At 35.4% G+C, this 15,029-nt stretch overlaps 1 protein-coding gene across 82 annotated transcripts in view; it reads left to right on the forward strand.

Moving 5' to 3' along the window:
* MEF2A (myocyte enhancer factor 2A) overlaps positions 1-15,029 on the forward strand; it is a 151,072-nt gene that overhangs the window by 66,253 nt on the left and 69,790 nt on the right. For 71 of the 82 annotated variants that reach the window (NM_001400049.1, NM_001400057.1, NM_001400064.1 and 68 more), the window contains 2 exons: positions 1,309-1,504; positions 13,892-14,095. In NM_001400049.1, coding sequence (NP_001386978.1) covers positions 1,451-1,504; positions 13,892-14,095 — 258 coding nt within the window. In that variant the 5' untranslated portion in view covers positions 1,309-1,450. The remainder of the gene's footprint in view (positions 1-1,308; positions 1,505-13,891; positions 14,096-15,029) is intronic. The other 11 variants (NM_001365209.3, NM_001393559.2, XM_011521585.3 and 8 more) reach the window with 1 other exon arrangement.

Genomic DNA, 15,029 nt, shown 5'->3' on the forward strand with positions numbered 1-15,029 from the left:
TTATCCTCTGTGCATAGTTCAGTGTTTGGAAGTACATTTATTAGAAGTAGGTGAACAATTAATAGGTTATCAGTTAATAGATGATCAACTACTGTTTGTATCAATGAAGAAATAAAATAATGAGGGAAGATAAATAAGAAATGCTGTGCTGATGTTAGTGCTGGAAATGATAAGAAACGAAAGGCTTATAGCTTTTGAGCAAAAGCCAGATTTAATCACACACTGGATTTGCACAGTACAATTGAAGTTTTATTGATACACATGTACAGTATTGAAAATACTTGCATAAAATTCCCATGGGAATGTATTATTATGACTGTTGTATTATAGCATTCATGCCCCCATCTCCTCGTATTTTTATTATGTAAGTCTGAAAGCACTAGGTTTTTAAAATGACACAGCCATCATTCAGAACATGACAAACTATATCATTTCCAGTCATCCTACTACACAGAATAAATGGAATAAAAAACGCTTGAAAGATTTTTTAAGTCTTGAAGGAAAGCAGACTTAAAATTTATACACACACACACGAAGGTGCTGTGGTTTATTCTACCAAGGGAAATTGATTTTCACTTCATCTGGAAGTGCAAACTGAATCTTGACTGATAAGGAGGTGTTCATTAAATGGCCAAAGGAATGTTTCATTTAAATGCATATTTTTACGAAAGTATATAGTGGCTTTGTGAATTGACAAATAGTGATTTGGCTGGAGGCTAGGGCAATTTGCAAGAATTTGAAAAGACAGATTGGGGCTATCCAGATTAGTTCATTGTTTGGTATGGAGGTCATCAGAAGTTTTTAAGGATATTCTGTGTTGTGAAGAACAGAAGTGCTGGAACCAGATTCCCTGAGTTTATAACCCCAAGCTCTGCCCCTTACTACGTGACCTTGGGCGTATTGCTTAATTTTTCTGTGTCTCAGTGTCTCTATTTATAAAATGGAGGTAATAATTATAGATTGCTATTAGGATTGAATGAGTTAAGACATGTCCATGCTTAGGAAAATGTCTAGTACATAGAAGAATCTCAGTAAGGCTTGGCTCTTGTTGCTATTATTGTATACATTGAGAAAACCTCAAACATTATTGTTGCATTAGTTTAACCAGAACTAGAGACACAAAGAGATTCAAGAGGTATTTTAGGGGTAAAGTTAACAAGACTTCAACTTATTTACTAATTTTGTATAACCAGAAATTTCAACTAATAATGCTGTGTGCAGTGTAAAAGCAAATTTGAAATTTGTATAACACTTACATGATTTGTAAACTTACAGATTTTAAATCTTCTAATTTGTGTTTTCTTTTAGATCTTGTAGAAAATTTCAGCTGTAGCCCTTGGACTAGAAGCTGAAATAACAGAAGCTGTGTACGATGCATTAGGGTATTGAAGAAAATTAACTTTTGAATTAAATATTTGGAATATAAGGAAATAAGGAAAGTTGACTGAAAATGGGGCGGAAGAAAATACAAATCACACGCATAATGGATGAAAGGAACCGACAGGTAAATGAAAATTTTAATTTATTTAATTGATATGAATATTCTTTTAAAAAAAGAACATAGGACAGAATGGTTGGGTTTTTCTTAAACTTAATTTTAAGTCTAAATATTTTTAGTTACAGACTAAATGAAAAATTCTAACAATCATAAAATTGTATCTTTTCATCATCTGCTTTAAAGAGACTTCCTTATTATAGATATATGTCACCAAAAATATAGATACTCAAAAGTAAAATCACCACAATCCCCACCATTACCAATCCATTGTATAGATTTCTCATAAGATATTTAGTCTTCTATGTATTTGATTATATATTTGACTGTTAGTCTTTTTTATATTGATTATTTTTAAGTTATCACATCTGTTTTTATAATTAGCTAAGTTAACTATAATTATCAGTGAATGTGTTCTAGTCAGTTAAATTTTCTGGTTAACCAATATGTAATGAGAATTTTTTATACTTATTGCAAATATTTTTAAATTTATATATGTACCTCAGTTTTAATTGATAAAATATATTGAAGTTATTTTATGGTACCAGTGTGGGTAAATCCTTACAGATTCAAGGTAATTATAATGATGCTGGTATATGAAGAGGCCAGAAGTTTTAAGTGTCTAATGTTGGCTTAACAAACTATGGTCCATGGGCTGGCCATCTGTTATTGTAAATAAAGTTTTATTAGAGCACTGTCATGCTCATTCATTTACATATTGTCTATGGCTGCTTTCGCATTATAACAACAGAATTGAGTAGTTGCCCCAGAAACTATATGGTCCATAAGCGTAAAATGTTTACTCTCTGACACTTTTAGAAAAAGTTTACCAACTCCTTAGTTCAGAAGAAAGAAGGAAAAATAATTTCATAGCATATTATAAAGGAACTACTGGAGAGATGCTATCTCTGGGAAAGTTGCGTATCAGGAGAAGTTTCAAGAACAAGTGGTTTCAGAAAGTTTACCAGGAACAGAACGAAACTGAAGATGTGTTCTGCAAATCTGAGTAGTAATTCACTGGAATATAGATATAATTGGAGATAAAACTCAACTGAGCAGCCTGTAAGGAAGTTGGTGGGAGAGATGAGGGTTGCCCATAGACTGAATTAAAGAGGAGGCCCTGGTTTCAACTCATGAAGATTGTTCAACAAAGACATAAGGCCCACACAGTATGATTCATTATGAAGGTTGGTACAATAGGGAAGATTGGTAAACTATCCATGCTATTATTCCAAAGGAATCATTCCAAGCAAGGCTGCAAATTATCTTCCCTTCACAATCTGAGGATTATGAAGTGTAGAGGAGGCATAGGGACCTGCTTCATGGATATATGCAGTATAAATATAAAATAGGGTTTATTGGGGAATAACATACAAGCAAAGAACTGGAGGACACATAAAATTTTCGAGCCCTTATTATTCCATAGATAGTCGTGTTTAAATTGGACATAGCTAAACTGGACCTACCTATGGAAGGGATTCACATTTGTAGAGAGAAAGAGCAGCTAGGAATGTGTAGGTGACGGTAATGGAACTTTCTGAGTTGAGGAAATGACCTTGTTGAAAAGATAGATACTGCCACTAAGCAACTAGAATGAGGCTGTTCTTACGTTGGACTTAGCTGCTGTGTCAGCTTCTTGCCTAGCTGCCAAATGGGGCAAGGACTATCTGAATTTCTGTCTCAGATAATTTTGGCAAAGATTGGAGAAAAGACATAAAAGAAATAATTGGACAGTTTATTTTTCAGGTTAAATTAGACACAGAAACAATTTGTCACAAACTAAAAGAGTATCTTTATTGATTTTAGAATTTGATTCTGATTTAAAAGTTTCATGTTTCTTCATGAAAGGGAGAAAAACTGTATCTTTGCAGAAGAAAAGAGATGTCATTTATTTGTCCAGATTCAGATATATACTATATCCCAAGAGACTGTGTTAGGTCCTGGAAACTCACTAAAAATATATAGCCTACATAGGAGATCTAAATATGTGGCAAATAGAAATAATATCAGATACTGGGAGAGTTTATAGAAGAAACCGCTAACTTCTGATGGAGTGGTTTAGGGACTATTGGTTGGAGGAGGTAGTAGCAAATAAGAGTTTTGAATTACAGGTGTGAACTAGCAAGATAAAAATCACACTTCATTATTGGAACAGTACACAAATAATCTTGCAGGTGGTGGAGGGGTGACAGTATCATAGACTTAAAGAGCTGCTTCACTTTACTTCCACTTAGAAGCCTCTGGTGAAACCTTATGTTTGTTCTTCCTTATCTAGAACACTTTTAAAAAAGTAAACCGTATTAAAGTATAAGATTAAGAAAAATTCAGAAATCCTAAGAGTGTGGTTCAGTGAATTTTTGCACAAAGAAGAAGACCGTGTAGCCAGCATATCCCAGAGCACCACCCGAGAGGCACTCTATCCTGTCTCCCAGTTGTTTCCCCCTGCCCCAAGGAAGGTCATTATCCTGACTTCTAACACTATAGATTAATTACACCTGTTGTTGAGTTTATATGAACAGTGTGTCTTCTTTCGCACAATATTACATTTGTGAAATTTATCAGTGGTATTGTTGCATGTAGATATATGTAAGTATATCTTGTACATTTTCATTGATGTATAATCTATTGTGTCAGTAGAATACAATTTATGTATTTACTTTTTTCTATTGTAAATGGACATTTGGATTGTTTTCTACTTTGGTACTATTATGAAGACTGTAATTTTGAATATTCTCGATAGTATACGTGAACACTTGGGTAAATAGGAGTGCGGTTGCTGAGTCATAAGGGTATGCATTTGGTTAGTAGTTGACGGAAGTTTTCTAAAGTAGTTCTACTGGTTTACACTCTGCTGGCAGAGTGTAAGAGTTCTAGCTGCTCCGGTCTTGAGCAATACTGGGTACTGTCCTTTTCATTTTAGTCATTCTGGTAGGTGAACAATAGTAATTTAATGTTAAGTTTCCATGATGTCTAATGAAGGTGCTCACTTTTTCATATTTTTATTGGCCATTTAGATATATATCTTCTGTGACTAGTCTGTTCACTTCATTTTGTTTTCTTCTAATGGGCTGCCTGCTTTTTTCTTATTAATATGCATTCTATATAATCAGGTGAGTGTTTTGTCCATGATATGCATTATAAATATTAGCTCTAAAACTATGGCTTGCCTTTTCACTTTCTTTTTTAAAAATTTTATTTTAGAGACAGGGTCTTGCTGTGATGCCCAGGCTGGAGTGCAGTGGTGCGATCATAGGTCACTGTAACTCAAACTTTTGGGCTCAAGTGATCCTCTCATCTTCACCTCTTGAGTAGGTTGGACTACGGGCATGTACCACTAGGGCCGACCCATTCTTTTATTTTTTTGTAGAGATGGTGTCTCGCCTAGACTGGTCAGGAACTCCTGGCCTTAAGTGATCCTCCTGCCTTGGCTTCCCAAAGCACTAGGATTACAGGCATGAGCCACCACACCAGGCCTACACTTTCTTAATGTTTTAAAAAATCAATAATATTTTAATGGTTTCCCATTTACCTTTTTTTCCCTTTCCTTTATGAGTAGTGCCTTTTGTGTCACGTTTAAGAAATCTTTACTTACCATAAGGCCATAAAGATATTCTTCTATGCTTTCTTCTGTAAGGACTCTTTTTTTTTAACCTTTCATGTTTTAGACCTGTTATCCATTTGGTGTTTATTTTTGTGTTTGGTTTGAGGTGTAGGGGTCAGGATTTGTTATTTTCCAGATGGATATTTAGTTGTCCCAGTACAATTTATTGCATAAAACCATCCTTTCCTCACTATATGACAGGGTTGCCTTTATCATGAGTCGAGTAACCATATGTGTGTGAAACTGTTTCTAAATTCTCTGTTTTGTTCCATTTGATTATTTGTATATCCTTGCTTAATTCTGCACTGTTTTAATTACTATAATTTGATATCTGGTGGTGTAGTTCTGCACCTTTTTTTTTTTTTTCTCAGAACCAGCTGACTATTCTTGCCCTTTTTCAGAATATCCAAATGAAACCAAGTGTCATTGTTCACTTAAGAAAACAAAAAACCTACTGGAATTTAGATATTTTTTTTCCACTGGATGTAGGGATCTATTTAGGGAGAATTGAAATCTTTACAGTGTCAAGTCTTGTAATCTATGAACATGTTTGTATTTCATTTGGTTTTCATTAATTCTCTCCATAATGGCTGATAGTTTTCAAAATAAGTCTTCTACATTTTTGTTATATTTATTAGTAGATATTTGATTTTCTAAAGCATTATTAACATTTCTTCTCAAATTTTATTTTCTGCATATTTGCTGCTAAGTATATAAAAGTATACTTAAGAATTGCTAGATGACATGGTAACTCTTAAGTTTAACATTTTGGGAAATGCCAGACTGCCAAAGTGGCTGCACCATTTTGCTTTCTGCCTGCCATGTGTCAGCATTCTAAGTTTTCCACATCCCAGCCAACACTTGTTATTGTCTGTCTTTTTTTTTTTTTCTGTGTAAGACGGAGTCTCGCTCTGTCGCCCAGGATGGAGTGCAGTGGCACGCTGTCGGCTCACTGCAAGCTCCGCCTCCCGGGTTCGTGCCATTCTTCTGCCTCAGCCTCCTGAGTAGCTGGGATTACAGGCGCCTGCCACCACGCCCGGCTAATTTTTTTGTATTTTTAGTAGAGACGGGGTTTCATGGTGTCAGCCAGGATGGTCTTGATCTCCTGACCTCGTGATCTGCCCGCCTCGGCCTCCCAAAGTGTTGGAATCACAGGCGTGAGCCACCGCCCCCAGCCCTGTCTTTTTTATTGTAGCCATCCTGATGGGTATAAACTGGTATCTTGTGGTTTTAGTTTGCATTTCTCTGATGGCTAATGATGTTGAACATCTTTTCATGTGCTTATTGGACATTTGTATATCTTCCTTGGAAAAATGTCTATTCAAATCCTTTGCATAATTTTTAATTGTTTTTTAGTTGTATGATCATTTTGAAAGCTGTTTTTATTGGTTGTAGAATTCTAGATTGGCAGTTTTATTCTCTTAGTACTTTGAAGCAGTTGTCTTCCAACTTCCATTCATTTCTGTTAAGAGGCCAGCTTTTGATCTTAAAAAAAATTTTTTTTTTAAAGATAATGTGTCTTTCTTTTCTTTTGTTGCTTTAAAGCCTTTTGCTTTTCCTTTGTTAATATACATTTTTACTGTGATGGACCCACAAGGGGCATGTGTCTTCAGATATTGCTTGTGTCCCATTTTTTTCCTTCTCTGGGATTCTAGTTACATATAACGGTTTTGTATCCCATACATTTCTTATGTATTTTGTCCTCCTGTATTTTTTACTCTTTTTTTCTCTGTACTTCAGTTTGAATGTTTTCTAGTTATTTTCTAGCAATCTATTTTCTAGTAAGCCTTTCTCCTGCTTTTTAAAATTAACTGATAAAACAGCCTAGTACGTTCTTAATTTCTGATAATATAGTTTCAATTCTAGAATTTTTTGATTTTTCATTTTTATGGAAATGGCCCATCTTGTCATCCATTTTCTCCATTTTTAAGCTTTTTTTTAAATATTAGCCATAGTTATCTTTAAGTTCATGTCTGTGAATAGCTATATCTGGATTACCTGTAAGTCCATATCTGATCCCTTTTTCTCTTTGTTCTCAATTATACGATGCAGTCTTTTGACATGTCTAGTGGTTTTTAATGAGCCTTCAGACCTTGTATGTGAAAGAGATTATAGAATCTTAGCATCTCCAGTCTTCCTGCTTTAGCAGCTTTCTGATGTCTTTAAAGAGGTATTTGTTGTATTTCATCCTGTTTTACTAGTTGATTTCAGTGGGTTCTTTGGTCTTCCAACAACTACTCCCTCTAACCTAAAAGCAGACATCCTCATATACTTAAAAAAAAGAAAGAAAGCAGTTTAAAAATAAAAGTTTTTTCCAAAGGTTCCAAAGGTAGAGTACAGAGAACGATACTTCAAGGTTTGCTATATTCATTATCCAGAAGTAACATATGTCAGTGCTGACACATTTGTTATATGTATTTTTATTTTTATTCATAAAGTGAAAAAAATTAGAGATTTACTGTCCTCTTTATAATTTTTCCTGGTCTCTTCCTACTTTCCTTCTCATAACCACTATCATGAATTTACATTGTGTTTTCTTTATATTTTTTAACAGGTATTATTTAATATTGTTTCAACATGGGTTTAAAGTTTTACATAGTGACGTTTTCATTTGCACTTGCTTTTTCACTCAGTGTAGTGTTTTGAGATCCATCTGCTCTCATTCAATACAGCTAGTTTTAGGAATAAATATTCTTAATTCATCAATACTTCTATCAAAGAACAACTATGTTGTTTCTAATTTTTTACTGTTATAAATGGTGTTGCAGTATACATCTGTTGACCTGTCTCATTATACATGGGTAAAAGTTGCTCTGTGATAGTTTCAGAAGGAATTGCTAGGCTGAGTATGTCCATCATCAGCTTTACCATGTTTTCAAGTTGCTTTCCAAAGTGATTGTACTAGCTACACTGCAGTAAGTTTGTATGATAATTCCTATTTGCCCATATACTTTGCCTTTCCTTCTTTCTGTCTTGTCTGCCTTTCTTTTCTATTTTTTCTGTCTTTGTCCCTTTTTAAATTTTATTTTATTCTTTTTTCTGGTCTTAGGAAAGTGAAATGCAACCTGTTTTTGTGGTTTGCTTATTTTGTGCTGGGTTGTTGGTTTTGGTTTTTTTCTCTTAGAAGTTCTTTACATATTCTGGATATTAATTCTGTATGTATTGTCTCTGTTTCAGATAGTATCTTTCAGTCTTTACCAAAACACTTTGTAAACACTTTTATGACGGGACTTACCATAGTGTTGTATATTGCCCTTATTTCAGTAGATTGTGAGCCTTTTTAAGTGTGTTAAGACTTGCTTTATTTCCTAAATCAAGATTGGTTTTTTTAAATGTTCCGAATGGAGTTGGGTAAATATGTATTCTTTGATTGTTGGATGCATGCATCTCCATATATCTTTCAGATAACTCTCATTGTTGTGTTCTAACCTTCCGTATTCTTTGTGACTTTTTGTTTTTTGTTCATTGAGACTTATCAATAATTGTATGTACCACAATGGTGGATTTGTCAATTTCTCTGTATATTTTATTGATTTAATAATACTGTTTTATACATTTTGGGACTATTTCGTTAGGCTTGCACATATTTAGAGGTGATGTACCTTCTTGGCAAATTTTGCAATACATATTGACCATCTTTATCCTCAGTAAGGCATGTTTGTCTTAAATCTACCTTACCTCACCTTGATATAGCTACATATTTCTTCCTTTCCTTTTCTTTTTTTCTTTTCCTTCCTTCCTCCCTCTCTCCCTCCTTCACTCCCTTTCTCCCCTCCCCTCTTTTCTTTCTTTTCTTTTTTTTTTTTTTTGAGACAGGGTCTTGCTCTGTCACCCAGGCCAGAGTGCATTGGCATGATCATGGCTCACTGCAGCCTTGACCTCCTGTGCTCAAGCAATCCTCCTGCTTCAGCCTCCAGAGTAACATGGGTATGCGCACCATGCCTGGCTAATTTTTGTACTTTTTGCAGAGGTGAGGTCTCACCATGTTGCCCAGACTGGTCTTGAACTCCTGAGCTCAAGTGATCCTCCCACCTGGCCCTCCCAAAGTGCTGGGATTATAGTGTGAGCCACGGCGCCCAGCCAGTGTTTTCTTGGAGGTCTGAAACTCTGTGTTATCTTTCAACCTTACTGTTTCCTTATGTTTTAGGTATGTCTTTTATAGATAGTATGAGAGGCTGCATATTGGTTTTTTATCTAGTTTGATCCATCTCTTAACCCACCAGTCTAGTTGATGTTTATTCCCTGTGATCTCGCACGTATTTGCACTAGTTTGCGTGATCCCAGTCGATCATATAAATGGGTTAGCGGGTCCCAGCCGTCGAAAAAGCCATAGTGTCCGCAAAGAACTCTGATTGCAGCTCCACACAGAGCCCCCCAGGGAAGAGGACATCGGAAGAAGATATTTCATCTACCTGGCAATCCACCAAACGTGGAGGTTCTGAGTAAGAATGGTTGAGAAGTCACCCTGCCAGAGGTTAGTCAGTTTCTACCTGATGTCTTCAACTCCTATCTCCAGCAGAGCTTTTGTACTGCCCAGGTTTCATTCTGGAGGGCGTCTGTCTGCATCAGCATGGCTGCCAGTTCTCTTGTGATGTAGCAGGCATTGAGTGTTCCAGGCAGCGGAGGTGAGAAGCACAAGCTGAACCCAAACTGCTGTTTTAAAAATTTGTCTTCTCGGCCGGGCGCGTTGGCTCACACCTGTAATCCCAGCACTTTGGGAGGCCGAGGCGGGCGGATCACGAGGTCAGGAGATCGAGACCATCCTGGCTAACACGGTGAAACCTGTCTCTACTAAAAAATACAAAAAATTAGCCAGGCGTGGTGGCAGGTGCCTGTAGTCCCAGCTACTCGGGAGGCTGAGGCAGGAGAACGGCATGAACTCGGGAGGCGGAGCTTGCAGTGAGTCGAGATCGTGCCACTTGCACTCCAGCCTGGGCGACAGAGTGAGACTCTGTCTTAAAAAATTTGTCTTCTCATAATCCCACTGGCCGATTTCTTCTCCAGGCTACAAGCCTCCACATCCCTGACCCCGTACATTTTCCAGCATACCCTCTGGGGTTTCTCACTTTTTCTTCATTATTCCTTTACAGATTTATTCAACAAATTTGTTTAGCACCGCCTCACTGCCACACAGTAGCTTTGTTTTAGAAGCTGAGCGTGCAGCATTGAACTTTTTTCAACTTATGTTCTACTCAGATGACTGGTTTTTTTTGTTTGTTTGTTTTTGTTTTTTCAGCAAGTAATGCTTGTTGGTTTTTTTGCCCCTAACAAGGGCTTGTAGGTGTTATACTTCCTGAGTTTTTTTATGTTTGAAAATGTTTATTGTCTTTATACTTGAAGTCTGACTTGGCTAGGTCTAACGTTCTAGGTATAGGCCCTATTTCTTTTCCCCAGAACATCGTAGAGATTTGGTCTTCTGACTTTGAATGTTGCCAGAATTCTAACACCAGACTGAGTTTTTTCCCTTCTTAAAAGTCACTCACTTCCTTCCTTGGTGTACATGGTATTCTTTCTTTGACCTTGACATTCAGTAACTTAATCTGAATATGCCATGAATTTGATTATTCCTTATCACTTTTTTGAGAGATTGTATGCCTTTCTGTATTTTATTTTTTAATAAATATTTTTCCTTTGCTAAATGCTCTGGGCTTTTTTGGTATCTTCATTATCTGTCAACAATACAAACAACTTTTTTCTATTCATTTTAGTTTTCTGTTTTGATTCTTTGATTTTCATTATTGTGCTAAAAATCTCTGTTATGATTTGATTTTTTTTCTCTTCTCATTCATTTCCGAGCCATACCAGCTCACATTTTAGATCTGTTATCTCTGACAGTTTTTGGCAATTATATTAAGTATGAGTTAACAGAAATAGCTTTCCTATAAAATTATTTTCTTTATTTATTTTGGTTTCACCTTCCCTGGCATTCTACATTTAGAACAAGATTCTTCACTTATTTCATGGGCTTCTGATACTTGTGAATCTTGTAGCACTAATCAGAGGATCCTCTCAGAGGACACTGCCACTTTTGTGAAGAACTCAGTGTGAATTCTCTGAATCCACTTTCATTTTCTTCTAAATTTCACCAAATCTGGCAGATGAAAATTTGTAGTTAGGGATTCTTACTTTCCTTGAAGAAAACCCAGTCTCTTTTTTAGTATTATGTATGTGTATGTATGTATGTGTCCATGTTTTTAGAGGAGTAGAGAGGAGTAAACATGACTTTATTCCATTTTGAATTTAAAACTAACTTTTGTGATTTCTTTTGAAGTTAATATAAAGAATTTACATCATTTTAATGTAATTGAAATCAGTTTAAAAATATTGTCTTAGAATAATAAAGTTGAGTCTTGAGTTTTAATTATGTAGTTAGTATTCTGTAGCCTAATTTTAGATTACGTTACCTCTTTCATGTCAAATTTATGAACTGAAACGTGGCTGTATTGTAAAATACTAATTAACACTCTACTAATTAGTTGGCTTTTACTGATTTTTCACTTTTAGATGTCTTAGAAAGCTAGTATGTAGAAGGAAAATCTCTGTATGACAACCAAAAACTTACTTTGAACTGAAAACACTAAAATCAAGGGAAAATGTACTCTTAACAGCTTGTTTTCTTGCTTTGTGACTTGTTATATTTTGTTATAATCTAATCTTCTAGGCATATACTCATGTCATAAGTGATAGTATTTTTCATTCCTTTCCTTATTGCTTTCCTCCATTGTATTCTATTTTGTTTTTGTTTGTTCCCAAATGTATTTGTAAAAACAAGTACATCAACAGATGCGGAGGTTTTTCTACTTGTAATTTCTGTTTTATATTGAGAATTTTTTTTTTTTTTTTTGAGATGGAGTCTCGCTCTGTCGCCCAGGCTGGAGTGCAGTGGTGCGATCTCGGCTCACTGCAAGCTCTGCCTCCAGTGTTCATGCCATTCTCCTGCCTCAGCCTGCCGAGTAGGTGGGACTACAGGCGCCCACCACCACGCCCGGCTAATTTTTTGTGTTTTTAGTAGAGACGGGGTTTCGTAGTGTTAGCCAAGATGGTCTCCATCTCCTGAGCTCGTGATTCGCCTGCCTCAGCCTCCCAAAGTGCTGGGATTACGGGCGTGAGCCACCGTGCCCTGCTGAGAATTTTAAAGTATCAAATATAGACCAGTATTCAAAGATGATTCATAAAAGGTGATTTGGGTATATGACACAATTTACATGTAAATATGTATCATGAACAGACTAGATGGTATTGGCTAGTTAAATTTTCTTGTTAAATGAATATTTAAAGAACCTTCTCAACTCTATTTTCATTCAGTTTACTAGCTAACAGAATATTTGAGCGGTCATATAATACGTGGAGTATTGTGCTTTGTGCACTTGACAAATACAGAGAAAACATAAGGTTTTGAGACTGTTAAAGAGATTAGATCTACATAAAATTAAGAGGGATTAAGGTGATTAAATGCTAAGATGAGTAGATGTTAAATGCATTTGGTGTTACTATAGGGAGAAAACAGATACTCTGCTTAAATTTAGTGAAAACCATTGAACTACTATACCACTGTTTAATTTTATCATGCTACATAGGAAATAGACTGAAAAAATACAGAAACATCATTGAATTGTACATGTGAAATGAATTTTGTTGTTGTTTTGCTTTTACATGTACGTATTGTATCTGTAATGAAAGAGGATATTAAAGTCATGCCCGTGAAAAAAATTTCTAGTGGTAGTAATTGCTTTTCATGATACTGGAGATCCTCTACTTCTTTAATAGCTACTGCAATAACTGATTTTAAGTCTAGGCCAGTAGTTAAAGTTTATAGGAAGAAAATCGTATGATAGGTATCCATGGGGAAAATTGCTGAACTTTATGTTGTTGCACAATTCCAAAGATTATTCAAAAGTATATTCTTACTGACCTTTCAAAAACTGTTTTTTAAACAGACTTTATGTTTTAGAGAAGTTTTAGGTTCACAACAGCATTGAGCAGAAAGTAAAGAGAGTTCCCTTGCATTCCTTTCCCATCCCGTATTAGAAGAAGAGGGATCAAGGGTAACTCTTGCTCACCCCAAGGAGGGTTGTTGGGTGGTATAATTTTTGTATGGCATGAGCTTCAGAGTATTTGAAGTTTTTGAAGGGGAGGGAAAGAAAAGTAGTGTCGAAGAGAGAATACAGAGCATAAAAAGACATCTCTTTTAGGGCCTTCAGTCAATATAAAGGGTGTAAATAAAAAAATTTTTTGGGGGGGTCTCTGTTAGAGAGGATTTCAGGTAACAGGTTTCAGTTAAAGAAAGAAACAGTTAAAGAAGAATTTGAGGACTTTGGGGAATTTGCTGATCCCAGACTGTGAATTTCAGTGGGTACAATAGAGAAGGGCTTGAGAGGGAGGAGAAATACTTCAGATTAGTGGATGTATTTAGTTGTTTAGGGATCAAAGTCTGGCTGATGCTACATTACCTGGCTGGGATTTGGGGTTTCTGATGGTAACAATTTTAACTGAATGATAAGGGAACACTGATCAACTGTTCCTTCTGTGGTGCTTCACCCTCTGTAGTGGAGTGGCAGCCAAGGATAAGGAAATACTTCCCCAGGAGACAGCTCTGTCGGAGAACTTGGCATATACAAAACAAATGTAGGACTGTAGCACAACAGGAGAGGGAAGGCTCATATGGAGGACAAAGCTGGGAACCTTTTCCATCTTTGAAATCTGGCTCAGTATTAAGAAGAAGATTCATCTTCAGATAGCCCATATTCAAGTACTACTAATGCTTTTAATAAAAATATACCTTTTTTATTGTTTAGGTCACTTTTACAAAGAGAAAGTTTGGATTAATGAAGAAAGCCTATGAACTTAGTGTGCTCTGTGACTGTGAAATAGCACTCATCATTTTCAACAGCTCTAACAAACTGTTTCAATATGCTAGCACTGATATGGACAAAGTTCTTCTCAAGTATACAGAATATAATGAACCTCATGAAAGCAGAACCAACTCGGATATTGTTGAGGTAACACATATCTAGTAATACGTGAATTGCAAGTAATACTGAAATATTTTGTTTAATAGCATTAACTGTCAGAATGACTTGTACATCTAAAACATAAATTAGGTGTATATGTATCTTTTCTCTAAATCATTTCTTAGAAGAGTGATTGCTGTATGGCGACTCACTTGTGTTATAAACATACTCTATTCATTCAGACAAAGTAAACTATGTTGTTTTACCATGTATACCAGCATAATCTTAACATTTCATCTATGATTACTTATTTTGTATGAGTTTTAAAATTAATATTGTAAGAGACTATCATTTTTGGACAGTATGAAGTTACAGTTTTGGTATGTCTTAATCATTTCATTATGTCATTGACAGCTCACAACTTTAAACACTTAAGAAAACAATGACAATTATGTAAATAATATTTGCTTTGTTAATAGTGTTTTAGTTGGGCAACAGGAGAAAGTCCTCATTTTCTTTGTTTATCTGCTGCCTATTTGATAGCTCTCATAGTTCTCCCAACCTAATTAAGTGAAAAAGAAAAGGATTTATTATTAGAATGATCTTCTCAGAAATAGTGTTTTACAATAAAACCTTCAAAATGGAAACCAGTATGCTTCCCCCTTTTTATCTTCTCTCTTTCAAGATCTTCCATAAGATAACTTTTCCATGTGTATTTCTAATCACATTTTAAATTAGCTTCATAGTTACTTTTGTCTCTTTTGTTTATATTTGGAGGTTTTATATTTATTCAGTGGAGGAATTTTTTATTACTTGAAAGATGCATATTTTGGCTTAGTTTGTAATAGAAAAGTATTAGGCATTTCTTTGGTGAAAGTACTGAAACCATGTGAGGATTATGTAGAACAATTGAAAAAGAACAAATGGAGTCCTAATCTAGATGGTATTTCTAATATTTAAAATTAAAGATAATTTAGCTGTT

Source organism: Homo sapiens, chromosome 15 (genome assembly GCF_000001405.40).
Source record: "Homo sapiens chromosome 15, GRCh38.p14 Primary Assembly".
In the NCBI taxonomy this organism is placed as follows: Eukaryota; Metazoa; Chordata; class Mammalia; order Primates; family Hominidae; genus Homo; species Homo sapiens.